Below are 19,200 nucleotides of genomic sequence, written 5' to 3'. Positions count from 1 at the left end.
CCACGCCCTGCTAATTTTTGTATTTTTAGTAGAGACGGGGTTTCACCATGTTGGCCAGGCTAGTCTCGAACTCCTGGCCTCAGGTGATCCACCCACCTCAGCCTCCCAAAGTGCTGGGATTACAGACATAAGCCACCATACCCAGCCAATTCTTCCAATCTCTTTATTATGCAGTCAGCCTTTCCAGTCCCCTCCTACCCCACCCCAACCCCCAAAAAGTTATGTTTTGATTGTTCATTATTTTGCAAAGTCTCCATGGCTAAGGACCCCCTTGTCACCCTTTCTGTCCTGCCCTTATTTATTTCTAAGGCAGCAGACCTGAGGTTTCTTTTCCAGCAGAAATCGGGTAAACCTCAGGTCTGTTTGAAATGCTTGTTCCCCAGTGCCATAAAGAAATAGCACTTGAACATTAATTTCCTCAGCAAGGCCATTTTTTTTACTTTCTGCAGAAAGGGTACACTCTCCAGCAGTTTTGCCAGGAGAGTACAGCGAACAAAGGGGACAGGGTCATTTATCACTTGATGCGTCCGCCCTACTGCTGTGTCCAGTTTCCAGGGCTGGAATGGGACCTCACATTCTGTATTTGTCCCGATTGGCCAGCACCTTGGAACTATTTAAAAGAGGCAAAGGCAGAGGAGAACAAAGGAAGGAGGAAGTAACTTGTGGAATGCTGAGAAAGGAAAAAGCACTTTTAGATAAAGAAGAGGAACAGGCTGTGACGTAATGCTTGCTTGGACCAGTATAAGCATGCCAGGGCTGATACTTAGGTTAAATTGTGGGAGCTAAGAGCATAAAGTACATTGATTTCTTTATCACGGCTAGCAGATATTTAGGAATGTTAGCACAAGTCTTTGAATGAAGTTTGCTTCTCAGAGAAGTTACTATTTATTCCTAATTAGATGGGGAGGAAAGTCTTTGAACAGGAACCTTTATTTTTTACAGGCCCGATGTCAGATTTTGGCATGTGGCTTTCTGCTACCCATGGCTGCGTGATGAGACAGTGGCTGGAGGCAGAACTGAGCCCCTGGAGGTGTTAATGGGGGAGTCACTTGTCCTCATGCAAGCATTCAAACATGCCTTTTGCACAACGGCAAGGCACATCTCAGAACATGTCAGCTGCAGGCTGCGATTTCCCGGGTACGAGCTTTCCAAGCTCTGTGATCCACTCTGTCTTTGGTTACATGAAGGTGGGAAAATTGCTCAGTTGCTAAGATCACAGTGTTGGGGCTCAGAAAACAATCCCCTAAATTTTTCAGAGGCATTAGAACCAGAGCAACTCTGCCATCTTGAATAGGGGCTGCGTAACATGAGGCTGAGACCTGCTTGGGCTGCCTTCTCTGGAGGTGGATGAGGCATTCTAAGTCACAGGATGACAGAGGAGGTCAGCACAAGACACAGGTCACAAAGGCCCTGCTGATAAACCAGGTTGTGGTAAAGCCAGCCAAATCCCACCGAAACCAAGATGGTGACGACTGACCTCTGGTCATCCTCTCTGGTCATGATACGCTAATTCTAATGCATTAGCTGATAAGAGACGGTTTACAGATGCCATGACATGGTCTAAAAGGGGGATGAACCTTCAGCTCCGGGAATTGGTCACCCCTGTCCCAGAAAACTCATGAGTAATCCACCCGTTGTTTAGCATATGATAGAGAAATAACCATAAAAATAGGCCACCAGCAGCTCTCGGGATGCTCCATCTATGGAGTACACATTCTTTATTCTTCTACTTTCATAATAAACTTGCTTTCACTTTACTCTATGGACCCACTCGGAGTTCTTTCTCACGAGATCCAAGAACCCTTTCAAACCCCTGAAAGGATCAGGTGATCCGCCCACCTCTGCCTCCCAAAGTTCTGCTGGGATTACAGATGTGAGCCACTGCACCCAGCCAGAAAAGACTTTTTGAATCAATGCTTAATTTTTTTTTTTTTTTTTTTTGAGATGGAGTCTCACTCTGTTGCCCAGGCTGGAGTGCAGTGGCGTGATCTCGGCTCACTGCAATCTTCACCTCCCGGGTTCAAGCGATTCTCCTGCCTCAGCACCCAAGTAGCTGGGATTACAGGCATGCGCCACCACTCCTGGCTAACTTTTTGTATTTTTAATAGAGACGGGGTTTCACCGTGTTAGCCAGGATGGTCTCGATCTCCTGACCTCGTGATCTGCCAGCCTTGGCCTCCCAAAGTCCTGGGATTACAGACGTGAGCCACCATGCCTGGCCCAAGGTTTATTTTTTTAAGATCAATTTCAAGTAGTGATGTTACTAAAAGATATTCATAGGCCAGGTGCGTTGGCTCACGCTTGTAATCCCAGCACTTTGGGAGGCCAAGGCGGGCGGTTCACTTGAAGTCAGGAGTTCGAGACTGGCCTGGCCAACACAGTGACACCCCATCTCTACTGCAAATACAAAAATTAGCTGGGCGTGATGGTAGGCGCCTGTAGTCCCAGCTACTTGGGAGGCTGAGGCAGGAGAATCACTTGAACCCGGGAGGTGGAGGTCGCAGTGAGCTGAGATTGCGCCACCGCACTCCAGCCTGGGCTACAGAGCGAGACTCTGTCTCAAAAAAAAAAAAAAAAAAAAAAAAAAAAGGCACAAAAAGGGCTGAGCGTGGTGGCTCACATCACGTCTGTCATTCCAGCACTTTGGGAGGCCGAGGTGGGCAGATCACGAGGTCAGGAGATCGAGACCATCCTGGCTAACACGGTGAAACCCCGTCTCTACTAAAAATACAAAAAAAAAAAAAAAGCCGGGCATGGTGGCAGGTGCCTGTAGTCCCAGCTACTCAGGAGGTTAAGGCAGGAGAATGGTGTGAACCCAGGAGGGGGTGGTTGCAGTGAGCCAGGATTGTGCCACTGTACTCTAGCCTGGGCGACAGAACAAGACTCTGTCTCAAAAAAAAAAAAAAAAAAAGATTTATGATTTTAAAGATTGAGTTGCATGTTGTGAAGTTGCTCTCCCAAAAGATGTGCAAATGTATGTGCACGCCCTTCCTTTGGTTGTCTGGCCAGTTTTCCCCATGTTCTTCACAGTGGAAATGATGACAGTGTGATAGGAGAACAGATGGAGGGTCATTCCCTCTGATTTTGCAAGCTGAAAAATCAACTTGCAAAAGCAGATGAATAGGAGAAAAGGCATACAAAGTTTACTCGATGGATACATACAGCAGCCTTCAGAGGGAAGACCCAAAGATGCAGGGGAAACCGTCTATTTTTATGCTTAGGTTCAACGACGTCTGAACGAAATCCGTGTAGGAATAGGATTGGAGGAAGAGGGTGTGATCTAAGGCTGACGGTCTGAGTGGGGAAACAGACAGGCCTGTCTAGATTTTTTTGGCCTCTGAGCAGTGCGCCTTCCTTCTGGGGGTGGGGTGGGACCCTCTCTGGGAAGGGGGTCGTAGAACCTACATTCAAACAAGGCAGGTCAAGGAATTTCCTTTTCCTTTTCTTTTCTTTCTTTTTCTTTTCTTTTCTTTTTCTTTTTTTTTTTTTGAGACAGAGTCTTGCTCTTGTCGCCCTGGCTGGAGTGCAATGGCGCAATCTTGGCTCATTGCAGCCTCCACCTTCTGGGTTCAAGCAATTTTCCTGCCTCAGCCTCCCGAGTAGCTGGGACTACAGGTGCCCGCCACCACACTTGGCTAATGTTTGTATTTTCTTTTTTCTTTTTTTTTTTGAGACAGAGTCTCGCTCTGTCGCCCAGGCTGGAATGCAGTGGCGCAATCTCCACTCACTGCAAGCTCCGCCTCCTGGGTTCACACCATTCTCCTGCCTCAGCCTCCCAAGTAGCTAGGACTACGGGCGCCCACCACCACACCCAGTTAATTTTTTGTATTTTTAGTAGAGACCGGGTTTCACCGTATTAGCCAAGATAGTCTCGATCTCCTGACCTTGTGGTCTGCCCACCTTGGCCTCCCAGAGTGCTGGGATTACAGACGTGAGCCACCGTGCCCGGCCTAATGTTTGTATTTTCAGTAGAGGTGATGTTTCCCTGTGTTGGGCAGGCTGGTCTCGAACTCCTGATCTCAAGTGATCCACCTGCCTTGGCCTCCCAAAGTGCCGGGATTATAGCCGTGAGCCACTGCACGATGATAGGAAATTTCTTTATGGCGAGTTTTTATATACTCAGGGTGTAGGGAAACTTAGAGTCCTATTTATAGGGTTTCTGGCTGGCCTTGGGGGAAAGGTGCTTTGGTTTTCGGGACCCACCTTGGGGAAGAAGGATTCCAGTTTCCGTGGTGCCCTTGGGGCGAAATGGGTCTGAGAGACAGGAGGGTAGGAGAAGGTCAGCAAGAAAGGTTTGCTTCTGATGCTGCTTCTGAGGTCTTCATTTTAGGTTACTGTTCTCTGAGCCCCAGCATAGGCATGCATTATTGGTTTTGTTCATTTATTTTATGAAAAAATGAATACATGAATATAGAGGGTATCTAATTTTTTTTTTTTTTTTTTTTTTGTGAGACGGAGTTTCACTCTATCACCAAGGCTGGAGTGCAGTGGCGCAATCTCGGCTCACTGCAAGCTCCGCCTCCCGGGTTCACGCCATTCTCCTGCCTCAGCTTCCCGAGTAGCTGGGACTACAGGCGCCCGCCACCATGCCCGGGTAATTTTTTGTTTTTTTAGTAGAGACGAGGTTTCACCATGTTAGCCAGGATGGTCTCGATCTCCTGACCTCGGGATCTGCCCATCTCGGCCTCCCAAAGTGCTGGGATTAGAGGTGTGAGCCACTGCACCCAGCCCTAATTTTTTTTTTATAGTTTCAGGGTCTGCTCTGTAATTGTAATATTCTACTTTTCATCTGCAAAATATAGTGTATATTGGACATTTTATAACAGGGAGAGGAGGTTTAGAAACCAATACCAGGGCCATGTACAGTGGCTCACACCTGTAATCCCAGCACTTTGGAAGGCCAAGGTGGGTGGATCACTTGGGGTCAGAAGTTCCAGACCAGCCTGGCTAACCTGATGAAACCCCGTCTCTACTAAAAATGCAAAAATTATCTGGGCATGGTGGTGTATGCCTGTAATCCCAGCTACTCAGGAGGCTGAGGCAGGAGAATTGCTTGAACCTAGGAGGCAGAGGTTGCAGTGAGCTGAGATGGCGCCACTGCACTCCAGCCTGGGTGACAGAGCAAGACTCCTTCTCAAACAACAACAACAAAAACCAACATCAGTCTCTGTTCCCCAGTGGTATCATTTATGTTTATACTGTTTTCTTTCTGTATTTCTCATTTGCTTTGATCTTTTTGGTTTTCTTTTATGTGTTTTCCTTAGGAAAGCATTTTCATTTTTCTTCTCCAGATCCTTAGGTCAAAGTTTACTTCATTTATTTCAATTTTCTATTCTTTTATTTTCTTTCTTTTTCTTTCTTTCTTTCTTTCTTTCTTTCTTTCTTTCTTTCTTTCTCTTTCTTTCTTTTCTTTTCTTTTTCTTTCTTTCTTTTCTTTCTTTTCTTTCTTTCTCTCTTTCTGTCTTTCTTTCTTTCTTTTTTTGACAGACTTTCACTCTGTTGCCCAGGCTGGAGTACAATGGCGTGATCTCGTGTCACTGCAACCTCCACCTCCCGGGTTCAAGTGATTCTCCTGCCTCAGCCTCCCAAGTAGTTGGGTCTACAGGCACCCGCCAGCACGTCCAGCTAATTTTTTGTATTTTTAGTAGAGATGGGGTTTCACCATGTTAACCAGGATGGTCTCAAACTCATGACCTGGTGATCTGCCCACCTCAGCCTCCCAAAGCGCTGGGATTACAGGCATGAGCCAACGCACCCAGCCCTCAATATTGTATTCTTATTTAGGAACAGCTTTTGTTGGTAAGAGGCATTGGATTTTCAGAAGCTTTTTCTGAAACGCATATGATGACGGATGTCTTTCTTTTGATCTTTTGAATGTGTTAAACATTCTTTTAGGCTTTTTGATCTTATCTTTAGTTTTTTAGCATAAATATCATGCTGATATTCAAACTATATCTGAGATGGCTTTGTGAACCCTGAAAATTTGAGACAGGTCTCAGTTAATTTAGAGTTTGTTTTGCCAAATTTAAGGACGTGAGCCTGTGACATAGCCTCAGAAAGTCCTGATGACGTGTGCAACGTGGTCAGGTCACAGCTTGTTTTTTTTTTGTTTGTGTGTTTTTTTGTTTTTTTGTTTTTTTTGAGATGGAGTCTCACTCTCTTGCCCAGGCTGGAGTGCAGTGGTACAATCTCAGCTCACTGCACCCTTTGCCTCCCAGGTTCAAGCAATTATCCTGCCTCAGCCTCCGGAGTAGCTGGGACTACAGGCACATGCCACCATGCCTGGCTAATTTTTTAATTTTTTTTTTTAGTAGAGACAGGGTTTCACCATGTTGGCCAGCCTGGTCTCAAACTCCTGACCTTGTGATCCGCCCGCCTTGGCCTCCCAAAGTGCTGAGATTACAGGCATGAGCCACTGCGTCTGGCCATAGCTTGGTTTTATACATTTTAGGGAGACAGGAGACATCAATCAATATATGTAAGAGCTACGTTGGGGTGGGTGCGGTGGCTCACGCCTGTAATCCCAGCACTTTGGGAGGCCGAGGCAGGCGGATCACCTGAGGTCAGGAGTTCGAGACCAGCCTGGCCAACATGGTGAAACCCCATGTCTACTAAAAATACAAAAAATTAGCCGGGCGTGGTGGCGGGCGCTGGTAATCCCAGCTACTCGGGAGGCTGAGGCAGGAGAATGGCTTGAACCCAGGAGGTAGAGGTTGCAGTGAGCCAAGATTGTGCCACTGCACTCCAGCCTGGGCAATATGAGCAAAACTCTGTCTCAAAAAAATAAGAAGTATAGTCCTTGAAAAGCAGGGACAACTGGAAGCAGGGAGGGGGCTTCCAGCTCACAGGTAGGTGAGACACAGATGGTTACATTCTTTTGGGTTTGTGATGAGCCTTCCCAAAGGAGGTGATCAGATATGCATCTATCTCAGTGAGCACAGGGGTGACTTTGAACAGAGTGGGAGGCAGGTTTGCCTTCAGCAGGTTCCAGCTGGACTTTTCCTTTGAGCTTCCCGCTTTTGGGGTGCCCAGATATTTTCTGTTCACAGCTTCCATCAGGATACATATACCATGTGGTTAATTCAGAAAATTAGGCCGGGCACAGTGGCTCATGCCTGTAATCCCAGCACTTTGGGAGGCCGAGGTGGGCAGATCACGTGGTCAGGAGATCGAGACCATCCTAGCTAACATGGTGAAACCTCGTCTCTACTAAAAATACAAAAAATTAGCCAGGCAGGTGGCAGGCGCCTATAGTCCCAGCTACTTGGGAGGCTGAGGCAGGAGAATGACTTGAACCCGAGAGGAGGAGCTTGCAGTGAGCCGAGATCACGCCACTGTACTCCAGCTGGGTTGACAGAGCAAGACTCTGTCTCAAAAATAAATAAATAAAAATAAAATTTAAAAATATATATATATATAAAAGAAGCAAGCGATATGAACCTTCAGCCACCTTGAAATGTTGTTACGATAATTGTGTAGCAAATTGATCGCCTCTGGGCATCTTTGGAGCCCCAGAGGAAAGAAAAACATTATTGCTCAAATACTTCTCCTTGTCTTATTGAAAAGAACTATGAGGCCAATTCTAAGGCTAATGATCTGTGCCTAGCATTAAATTCTAAAAGGAGTCTATGGTGGTTGTGTGCCTTCAAGGGACGTTATGTAACACCGCAAATAACATCTCTTTAAAAAGTGTTTCTAAGGCATACATAGAAAAAGTAGAACATATTTACAGGAGCAAAGCTGGAAACATCCAGTTTTCTGTGTTTCTGGTGATTGAGGTTACCAGAGAGAGAGAGAGAGGCACGTTACTCACTTTACCGCGGTTATCGGATCGATTTTTATCACTATGTCCTGTGATACTAAAACATTTCTCTAAACTGCTTGAACCAAGGTGCAAAGAGTTTAACATGTGCTTAGCACACTACAGAGCTTGCAGTAGATGTGAGGAAAATTTATGATAGCTTGGGAAGTTTGCCAAATTGCTTGTGTGGTTGTCTTTTATGATTTGAGACTCATCAAGAAGACCACATGTGGCCAGGCGCGGTGGCTCATGCCTGTCATCCCAGCACTTTGGGAGGCCAAGGAGGGTGGATCACCCGAGGTCAGGAGTTCAAGACCAGCCTGGCCAACATGGTGAAACCCTGTTCCCACTAAAAATACAAAAAATTAGCCGGGCGTGGTGACAGGAGCCTGTAATCCCAGCTACTCTGGAGGCTGAGGCACGAGATTCGCTTGAACCCGGGAGGCTGCAGCCTGGGTGACAGAGTGAGAATCTGTCTCAAAAAAAAAAAAAAAAAAAAAAAAAAAAAAAAAACAGGGAGCATAGTGGCTCCTGCCTGTAATCCCAGCACTTTGGGAGGCTGAAGCGGGTGGATAATTTGAGGTCAGGAGTTCGAGAGCAGCCTGGCCAACATGGTAAAACTTCCATCTTTGCTGAAAATACAAAAAATTAGCAGGGTGTGGTGGCGGGCACCTGTAGTCCCAGCTACTGGGGAGGCTGAGGTAGGAGAATCACTTGAACCGGGCAGGTGGAGGTTGCAGTGAGCCAAGATTGCACCACTGCACTCCAGCCTGGGCGACAGAGGGGGGACTCTGTCTCCAAAATAAATAAATAAATAAATAAAAAATTAGTAACATAATTTAACATATCTGACCCCAATACAATTAAGGGATGAGTTTATAATAAAAAGGTGAACTAGAAAAATCCACACGCGTTGGAAAACTGGCCAACAGATGGCATGATCACACATGGGTCTAGGGGAGGTGGCTGCGTATAGACGTGGCCGTGGCCGCAGGTACAGATGCTGCTGGGATGAAGCACTTAGGCGTGAACGCCGTCAGCCTCTTACACCTTCTCCTGCTTGCCCCACAGTGCCTGCTACTCACCCCACGCAGCCTACGCCCAGAGCAAGCTGGCCCTTGTCCTGTTCACCTACCACCTCCAGCGGCTGCTGGCGGCTGAGGGAAGCCACGTGACCGCCAACGTGGTGGACCCCGGGGTGGTCAACACGGACGTCTACAAGCACGTGTTCTGGGCCACCCGTCTGGCGAAGAAGCTTCTCGGCTGGTTGCTTTTCAAGGTAAGCCCCTTCTGCTTCTCTGATTCACGGCTGCACCTGAAGATGCTACAGGAAAGGGGGTCCCCAGTCCAGACCCCAAGGGAGGGTTCTTGGATCTCGTGCAAGAAAGAATTCAGGACGGCTCAGTGGTGGAAAGAGAAGCAAGTTATTGAGAAGGTAGAGGAGTAAATGAATGGCTCCTCCGCAGACAAAGCATCCCCGGCGGCCGCTGGTTGGCCATTTTTACGGTGATTTCTTGATGATATGCTAAACGAGGGGGGGATTATTCATGCCTCCCCTTTTTAGACCGTAGAGGGTAACTTCCTGACATTGCCGTGGCATTTGTAACTGTCCTGGCGCTGGTGGGAATGTAGCCGTCACGACAGCCGGAGGTCACTCTTGTCGCCATTTTGCTTTTTGTGGGTTTTGGCCCGCTTCTTTACTGCAAGCTGTTGTATCAGCAAGGTTTTTATGACCTGTACCTTGTAGCAACCTCTTATCTCATCCTGCGACTTAGCATACCTTAACCGCCTGGGAATGCAGCCCAGCAGGTCTCAGCCTCGTGTTACCCAGCCCCTATTCAAGATGGAGTCACGCTGGTTCACACAGCTCTGACACAACCACTTCCAGGCTGCGTGTGCGGTGTTGGGGGCTTGGATTCCGTGATGTATTTGTACATTCTCACCCCAAAGCCTTGGTTGTGTGCGAGCTCGGTGGGTGACGCTGTGTAGCTAGGTAGTGCCCATAAATGAATCTTCTTAGGAGCTGGAGACCGTTTGGGGATGCTGTGGTAGGGGCCAAGGGAAAAACATCCCCCTTTGCCATTTGAAGGTTTGCTGAAAAATCAACGCACAAAATACAATTGCCCTTTTTGAAACATGAATAAAGGAAATGACAGGCAAATGTATTCTCATCCATGGAGGAGAATGTCAGAGGAATTGCCCCATTACACAAAGGGGTACAGACGCTTGTGTCCTCTTCTTCTTAGCGGAAGGGGAGTGGGGAATTGGGGGTGAATATAGGATTCCAAATAGTAAATGATTTTAAAGAGAAGTCAATGGGTTTGAACAATGTACAGTGGCCCGAAAACAGATAATGTTTTTTGTTATTGTTGTTTGTTTGCTTGTTTTTTTTGAGACGGAGTTTCGTTCTGTGTTGCCCAGAGTGGAGTGCAGTGGCGGGACCTCTGCCCAGTGCAACCTCTGCCTCCTGGGTTCAAGCGATTCTCCTGCCTCAGCTTCCCGAGTAGCTGGGATTACAGGCATGTGACACCACGCCTGGCTAATTTTGTATTTTTAGTAGAGACGGGGTTTCATCACGCTGACCAGGCTGGTCACGAACTCTGGACCTCAGGTGATCCACCCGCCTCGGGCTCCCAAAGTGCTGGGATGATAGGTGTGAGCCACTGCGCCTGGCCTCAGATAATGGTTTATGACGAGTCTCTGCAGGGACAGAGGCTGTGGAACCCTCAGAACAGACAGTGGTTTATGAGGAGTCTCTGCAGGGCTGTTGACAGACATCAGTCTTTCCTCCGCGATGTGGGTTCAGAAACTCAGGGAAGGGGACACTGGTCATTTTTCCTTCTTTGACATGTCCAGACTTCAGGAAACTTCAGAGAACAACTTCATCCTGTGCATCGGGAGACACAGAGGAAGCAGGAGGGGGAAGTTAGAGAGATCTTGAGGCTTCTTCAGTTCAGCAGGACAAAGCACCGTACTTTGGGGTGTTGGTTTTTAAGACCCAGCAGCTGAAAGCTCCCACATTTCTGCAATGATCTTCGTTGTCGTGATGCATTAACTTCTTAAGCACTGCAAGATTTCATGCCCCAGCCATTCCCTTGGGTTTTTTTGTTTGTTTGTTTGAGATGGAGTCTAGCTCTATCACCAGGCTGGAGTGCCGTGGTGTGATCTCGGCTCGCTGCAGCCTCTGCCTCCCGGGTTCAAGTGATTCTCCTGCCTCAGCCTCCTGAGTAGCTGGGATTGCAGGTGTGCGCCACCATGCCCGGCTAGTTTTTGTATTTTTAGTAAAGACAGGGTTTCACCATGTTGGCCAAGCTGGTCTCGAACTCCTGACCTACCTCAAGTAATCTGCCCGCCTCGGTCTCCCGAAGTGCTGGGATACAGTAGTGAGCCACCGTGCCTGTCCTCCTTGAGGTCTTTTGAAGTGATATGTATCTGGGAGCTATAGATTTACTTTCTTTCCTATCTATCTCAAGTCGGGATACTAAAGTTTTAATAATTTGTTTACAAAACAAAGAAAGAACCTTGAGAAGCTTTTCTATTTCTCCCTTTACATTGCAGAATCGTCTAATTAGCATTTTTAAAAGTGTCTGCTTTTGAAACACCGCCACGATTCACCTTCAAAACCGCATGGGTTGAGGAATTTTCGGAAGAGCGATTCTAACTCAGCTTTCAAAATTCCTTGGGCGTCTACTGCTTGTTGAAGTTTCCCACCTCTTTCTGAGTCAGTTTAGACAGCTTTTCCCTTTAGGTAATTGTCTGTTTCATCAAGCTTTGGAATTAATGAGCTTGGTTACAAATTCTCTTTTCTCCCTGTTGGACTCCTGGCATTGCTCTTGATTTCGTCTGAAAGTCTCTCATGATATGAGCTGCCCGCCCCCAATGTGGACTTTTTGAGGGGATTAATTACTTCCCTTATTTTGCAGTTTGCTTTCTTATCAGTTGTTCTTCGAATCTCTCATTCCTCAAGCAAAGGAATTTCTTTTTTTCTTTTTCTTTTTCTTTTTTTTTTTGAGATAGAGTCTCGCTCTGTCACCAGGCTGCAGTGCACTGGCGCGATCTCAGCTCACTGCAACCTCCGCCTCCTGGGTTCAAGTGATTCTCCTGCCTCAGCCTCCTGAGTAGCTGGGACTGCAGGCACCTGCCATCAAGCCTGGCTAAGTGTTGTGTTTTTAGTAGGGACGGGGTTTCATTATGTTGCCCAGGCTGGTCTCGAACTCCTGACTTCGGGTGATCCGCCCACCTCGGCCTTCCTAAGTGATGGGATTACAGGCGTGAGCCACCGCGCCCAGCTGTACATCCCTTATTTTGCAGTTTGCTTTCTGATCTGTTGTTCTTCACATCTCTAATTCCTCAAGCAAAGGAATTTCAAAATATTAGTTATTTTATTAAGCACTAAGTATTCGCTAGCAATACACCAACACTAGGATACATTTCATCCTTATAAAACCCCCATGAATCCCTCAGAGAGTGACTTCAGTATCCAAGGAGAGCATTTGCTGTTTTTTTATTTTATTTAATTTATTTATTTTTTTTGAGACTGAGTCTTGCTCTGTTGCCCAGGCTGGAGTGCGTTGGCGCGATCTCAGCTCACTGCAAGCTCCGCCTCCCAGGTTCATGCCGTTCTCCTGCCTCAGCCTCCCGAGTAAATGGGACCACAGGTGCCCGCCACCACGTCTGGCTAATTTTTTTTTTATTTTTTATTTTTTTTTAGTAGAGACGGGGTTTCACCATGTTGGCCAGGATGGTCTTGATCTCCTGACCTCGTGATCCACCTGCCTCGGCCTCTCAAAGTGTTGGGATTACAGGCGTGAGCCACCACGCCCGGCCTCTTTTAAATTTTTTAGAGACCAGGTCTTGCTCTGTCACCCTGGCTGCTGTGCATTTTTTTTTTTTTTTGTAGAAACGGCATCTTGCTGTTCGCCCAGGTTGGTCTTGTGCGCTGGAATTATGACACAATCACTGGCTGCAACCTTGAAATCCTGGCCTCAAGTGATTCTCCCACCTCTGCCTCCCAAAGTGCTGGGATGACAGGCATGAGCCACCATGGCTGGCCTTGACATTATTTCTTTCTAAATATTTAACAAGCAAACTGCAACTTTAGCCACATGAATCATTCTTTAATCCTTTGATCATCATCTGCAAATTTGGATTAAAAATAACCACGGGGCATTGCTCGAGTGATACTGCCTTTATATAAGAGACAACATTGTGGAAACTTTAAAATTATAGAGCAGAAGAATATGCATTAGCCTGGAAATGAAATTAAAATAATGTAAGAATTTTAAAGAAAAGGCTATACAGCTGCAGTAGCTTGATGCTGTCTTTGTAATGATAATTCTGTATTGCTGTGTATGTATTATTTACTAGTGTGTATGCATGCATGCATGCATGCATTGTATATTAAGACTTGGAAGATCAGCTGGGTGCCGTGTCTCATGCCTGTAATCCCAGCACTTTGGGAGGCCAAGGTGAGTGGATTACTTGAGGTCAGGAGTTCGAGACCAGACTGTCAAACATGGTGAAACACCATCTCTATTAAAAAAAAAAAAAATTAGCCGAGTGTGGTGGCGCGTGTGTGTCATTCCAGCTACTCGGGAGGCTGAGGCAGGGGAATCGCTTGAACCTGGGAGGCGGAGGTTGCAGTAAGCCGAGATGGCGCCATTGCACTCCAGCCTGGGTGAAAAGAGTGAAACTCCGTCTCAAAAAAAAAAAAAAGAAAGAAGAAAAACCTTGCAGGATCTGTCCAGGGTCCCTGGGGAGAATCTGTGTGACATACATATCTCTGTGATGTTTCATATCATCTGAGGGCATGGTTGTATGTCACTCTGAAACCTCTATCCTCTGTCTCATCAGAACACATGGACTCGATTCCAAATTCACGGCCAGTAACCTGGGCGACCAGTCGGTACCAGAAGAAAAACTAGGAGGTTGATTGGTTTGTTTTTGAGATGGGGTCTCGCCCTGTCACCCAGGCTGGAGTGCAGTGGTACAATCACAGCTCACAGCAGCCTCGACCTGCTGGACTGAAACGATCACCCCACCTCCACCTCCCGAGTAGCTGGGACTACACGAATGCACCAGCATGCCTGGCTAATTTTTTAAAATTTTTTGGTAGAGCCGAGGTCTTGCTATGTTGTCCAGCCGGGTCTCCAGTTCCTAGCCCCAAGCGATCCTCCTGCTGTGGCCTCCCAAAGTGTTGGGATTATGATTTGTGCATTTATAAAGATGAGAGGTTTGATTTGTCCTGTATACAAATGCATCAGGCCATTCTTCATGCTGAGACATGCAGATGGTCTCAGCCTCCGTAGGAGAGTAGCTTAGTATTTCAGAGGGCATGTGTGCTCTTCAGACCTCTAGGAAGCTCCTCGCAGCTTCATCAGTGAAACTCAGTACCCCCTACAATGTATACCCCTCCTAGGGAGCAAATGAACGTGGCTATTACCTCTCTTCCCACCCCAGTTGTCTCAAGATCAATGGGTGTTACAAAAAAGAGCTATCGGCTGGGAGTGGTGGCTCATGCCTGTAATCCCAACACTTTGGGAGGCTGAGGGGGAGGATCATGTGAGGTTAGGAGTTCAAGACCAGCCTAACCAACATGGAGAAACCCAGTCTCTACTAAAAATACAGAAATTAGCCAGGCGTGGTGGCAGTCACCTGTAATCCCAGCTACTCAGGAGGCTGAGGCAGGAGAATCGCTTGAACCCGGGGGCGGAAATTGTGGTGAGCCCAGATCATGCCACTGCACTCCAGCCTGGACGACAAGAGCGAAACTCCATCTCAAAAAAAAAAAAAAATAGAAAGCTATTGTAAATGCTGAGTGTATCAGCTCCACCATTCAGGGCTCATGTCCAGCAAGTCCTGACCACTTTGAAATCATGTGATCAGGCCTGCCATCAAAATGAACAAATTTGCAGTGTAGACTGCGCCCACTTCACCATGAAGTAGACCACTCGTATCATTGCTTGTCTTAAGCATGTATTTGTATCCGCCATGCAGTCTAATGAAAGTCTGTCTTAGGGTTGATTGGAACTTGGATTGATGTGCCGAGAGGGTGACAGGTTAATTAATCAAATCAAGGATGCAGGTACTGGGAATTTTTTTATTTTTATTTTTTTTAAGATGGAACCTCTCTCTGTTGCCCAGGCTGGAGTGCAGTGGTGCGATCTCGGCTCACTGCAACCTCCGCCTCCTGGGTTCAAGCAATTCGGCCTCATCCTCCTGGGTAGCTGGGACCTCAGCTACCTCCCAGCACGCCTGGCTAATTTTTACATTTTCAGTAGAGACGGGGTTTCGATATGTTACTCAGGCTGATCTCGAACTCACAGTCTCGAGTGAGCCGCCTGCCTCGGCCTGCCGAAGTGCTGGGATTACAGGCATGAGACACCCTACCCAGCCCCCCCATTTCTTTTTTTTTTTTTATTAATAAACAAATCTAACCACCCTCTCTGGACCTTCTATTTCCCCTGGGGACTGTCCCTGACTACAGTCTCCGCTGCAGCAAATCCCCATACAGGAATTGCTCATACAATTCACTTCCAGTCCCCCATGCTCCACTGAAAATGCTCCAGGTGGCCGGGCGCAGTGGCTCACACCTGTCATCCCAGCACTTTGGGAGGCTGAGGCGGGTGGATCACATGAGGCCAGGAGTTCGAGACCAGCCTGGCCAACGTGGTGAAACCCCGTCTCTACTAAAAATACAGAAATTAGCCAGGCATGGTGGCGGACGCCTGTAATCCCAGCTACTCGGGAGGCTGAGGCAGGAGAATCGCTTGAACCCGGGAGCAGGAGGTTGCAGTGAGCCGAGATCGCGCCACTGCACTCCAGCCTGGGTGACAAGAGTGAAACTCCATCTCAAAAAAAGAAAAAATAAGAAGAAATTGCTCCAGGTAGAGCCACCAGGGACTTCACCCTTTCCCTGCAATGTGCAGGCCTCAGCCCTGGCTGTTTCCTCCTCCACGCACGCCCTTCCCCCAGGTATCCAATCCCTCTCCTTCCCTTCATTCAGGCCTGCGCCAAAACCTCCGAAGACAGGGCTTCTCCTGGGCGCTTGCTTTCCCCTCACAAAGCTTTGTTTGTCTTTATGGGTCATCTCACCAATTGGCTTATGTATTTATCGATTCACTTATTTATTATAAATTTAAGGAGTACAGGTGCGGATTTATTTATTTTATTTATTTATTTTTTTTCTTTGAGACGGAGTCTCACCCTGTCACCCAGGCTGGAGTACAATGGCGCGATCTCAGCTCACTGCAACCCCTGCGTCCCAGGTTCAAGCGATTCTCCTGCCTCAGCCTCCCGAGTAGCTGGGATTATAGGCATGTCCCACCACACCCAGCTAATTTTTATATTTTTAATAGAGATGGGGTTTCACCATGTTGGCCGGGATGGTCTTGATCTCTTGACCTCGTGATCCGCCCGCCTCGGTCTCCCAAAGTGCTGGGATGACAGGTGTGAGCCACCGCACCCGTCCTGGCTTATGTATTTATTGATTTGCTTATTTATTATAAATTTAAAGAGTACAGGTGCGGATTTCTTTTTTTGTTCCCTTTTTTTTTTTTTTTTCCCCTGAGATGCTCTGTTGCCCAGGCTGGAGTGTAGTGGCATGATTTTGGCTCACTGCAACACCTGCCTCCCGGGTTCAAGCCATTCTCCTGCCTCAGCCTCCCGAGTAGCTGGGATTATAGGCATGTCTCACCACACCCAGCTAATTTTTATATTTTTAATAGAGGTGGGGTTTCACCATGTTGGCCGGGATGGTCTTGATCTCTTGACCTTGTGATCCGCCGGCCTCGGCCTCCCAGAGTGCTGGGATGACAGGTGTGAGCCACCGTACCCAGCCCGGCTTATGTATTTATTGATTCACTTATTTATTATAAATTTAAGGAGTACAGGTGCGGATTTCTTGCATGGAGACATTGCACAGCGGTGAAGTCCCGGCTTCTAGTGAACCCCTCACCCCAGCTGTGAATACTATACCTGTAGGTGATTTTTTTCATCCTCCACCTCCTGCCAACCTCCCACCTTTCAGGGTCCTCATCGTCAATCCACCCTCTGTGTCTGTGTAGACCCACTGGTGAACTCCCACTTGCAAGTGAGAACATGGCAGGATCAGTGTTTGACTTTCAGTATCTGAGTTGTTTGTTAGGAGAACGGCCTGCTTTTCAAACTGAAGCTCTGTTTCCATTAAAATACAACTTCCAATTTCCCTGCTGTTCCTAGCTCCTAGCAACACCATTCTGCCTTCTGTCTTGATGAATCTGATGACTCTAGGGACCTTAGAAAGTGGAAACAGGCTGGGCATGGTGGATCATGCCTGTAATCCCAGCACTTTGGGAGGCTGAGGCGGGTGGATCACCTGAGGTCATGAGTTCAAGACCAGCCTGACCAATATGGTGAAACCCCGTCTCTACTAAAAATACAAAAATTAGCTCAGCATGGTGGCACACGCCTGTAGTCCCAGCTACTCGGGAAGCTGAGGCAGGAGAATCGCTTGAACATGGGAGGTAGAGACTGCAGTAAGCCGGGATCGTGCCACTGCACTCCAGCCTGGGCAACAGAGTGAGACTCCGTCTCAAAAAATAAAAAGTAAAATAATAAAATAAAAAGTGGAAACGTGCAGTGTTTGTCCATGTCACTGCAAAAGACATGATTTCATTCTTTGATATGACTGCATAATATTCCATGGTGTGTATATACTATACTGTACTTTCTTTATATTAGCCAGTCCTCTGCTGACAGACACTTAGGTTGATTGCATATCTTTGCTGTTCTGAATACTACTGCAAAAAACCTAAAACAGCTGTGTGCGTGGATCAGGGCTCTGTGCCTGGAAGGCAGGGAAGGAGGTACTGAATGTGTGTGTGTGGGTCTAGCTGTGTGCATGGATCTGGGCTGTGTGCATGGATCAGGGCTGTGTGCATGGATGAAGGCAGGGAGGGAAATATTGAATGCATGTGCATGGATCAGGGCTGTGTGCATGGGTGAAGGCAGGGAGGGAGATATTGAATGCACATGCATGGAGCCAGCTGTGTGCGTGGATCAGGGCTGTGTGCATGGATGCAGGCAGGGAGGCAGCTGCAGAATGCATGTGTATGGAGCCAGCTGTGTGCATGGATCAGGGCTGTGTGCATGGGTGAAGGCAGGGAGGGAGATATTGAATGCATGTGCATGGATCCAGCTGTGTGCATGGATCAGGGCTCATGATAGCAAAGCAGAGAAAGAAGGGAGATGACGAGGGAGGGGTCCCTGGAAGAATCAGGCAGTGGCTATTTCCTGCAACAGCTCCCTTCTCCTCTCCTTCCCTGCTATGCCTCTCATTTTTCTAATTTGTTAATTCTGGATAATAATATCACATAAGAGTGTTGTGAACATTGCCGACAGAATATATGGGAAACCATTTTCTCCACTGTAAAGCTCTGTGTAATTATGTAATTATGAGCCATTCATTCCTCTCTCTGACTATATTGCTTGTGGCTCTATTTAGTACACTTGAAACTCTATCTTCTATTTTGTGTGTGTTTCATCTTTTTTTTTTCCTGCACTTGTGCCTCACCATCCACCCACTGCCCATGTCTATTGGAAGCTCCTGGGCAGCAGGGGTTATTTCTGAAATTCTCTTCCTTTGCCCCAAGAGCTGGCAAAATACGGGTGAGCATTTAATAAACATTCATTGGACTGAATGAAGTTGAAATGGTTTCTGTAGCTTGCAGCTCCAACACTCTCCAGGACTCAAGAGTGGCTTGATGCAGATTTTACCATAAATGGTGCTGCACCGTCTCCCCAGCGCCCCCCAGCCGGGCGTCTGGAACTTCAAAGATGCTCTTGTGTCTGTTAAAAGGGAACACACTGCGTTCTTGGATTTGGGTTCACATTTATACATCTTCTGTCCTCTTGCCAGTCTCTAAAGATTGTCATTTAAAAAAAAAAAAAAGCTGTAGATAAAACAGGATGTGTTATTTAAGCCACAGGGAGCATGATTTACAGGACCGTCTTGTGTATTCAGAAGACAACTTTCATTTCCCTGCACAAGGCGTCACCAAGCAAGCCCACTTCATCATTCCGAGAATGTGTGGAAGACAGCGTCTGTCAGCCACAGCTGCACAGCGGCAGATAATGAAATTCTGCCGCGAAGCCACAGTTCCTTGCTCTACACAGGAGGTCGGCCAGATAGGAAGTGTCTTAGTCTTCGTGGGCCACCTCTAGTCTCTTTGGCATATTTCTTTCTTTCTTTCTTTCTTTCTTTTTCTTAACAACACTTTAAGAGTATAAAACCATTCTTAGCTAGTAGCCTGTACAGAAACAGGTACAGGCTGAATTTTGCCCATGGTGTATAGTTTGCAGAGCTGCATAAGAAGCTAGAATGAGTGAGGTTCCCAGCGTGGTCTCTGAGACCAGCAGCC

At 47.2% G+C, this 19,200-nt stretch overlaps 1 protein-coding gene across 1 annotated transcript in view; it reads left to right on the top strand.

The window, feature by feature from the left end:
- Positions 1-19,200, top strand: part of DHRSX (dehydrogenase/reductase X-linked) — a 281,471-nt gene that overhangs the window by 248,874 nt on the left and 13,397 nt on the right. The window contains exon 6 of the mRNA NM_145177.3: positions 8,873-9,080. Coding sequence (NP_660160.2) covers positions 8,873-9,080 — 208 coding nt within the window. The remainder of the gene's footprint in view (positions 1-8,872; positions 9,081-19,200) is intronic.

Source organism: Homo sapiens, chromosome X (assembly GCF_000001405.40).
Source record: "Homo sapiens chromosome X, GRCh38.p14 Primary Assembly".
NCBI classification, from domain to species: Eukaryota; Metazoa; Chordata; class Mammalia; order Primates; family Hominidae; genus Homo; species Homo sapiens.
Note: the sequence above shows the minus strand (reverse complement) of the source record. Positions and strands in the feature narration are given on the sequence as shown.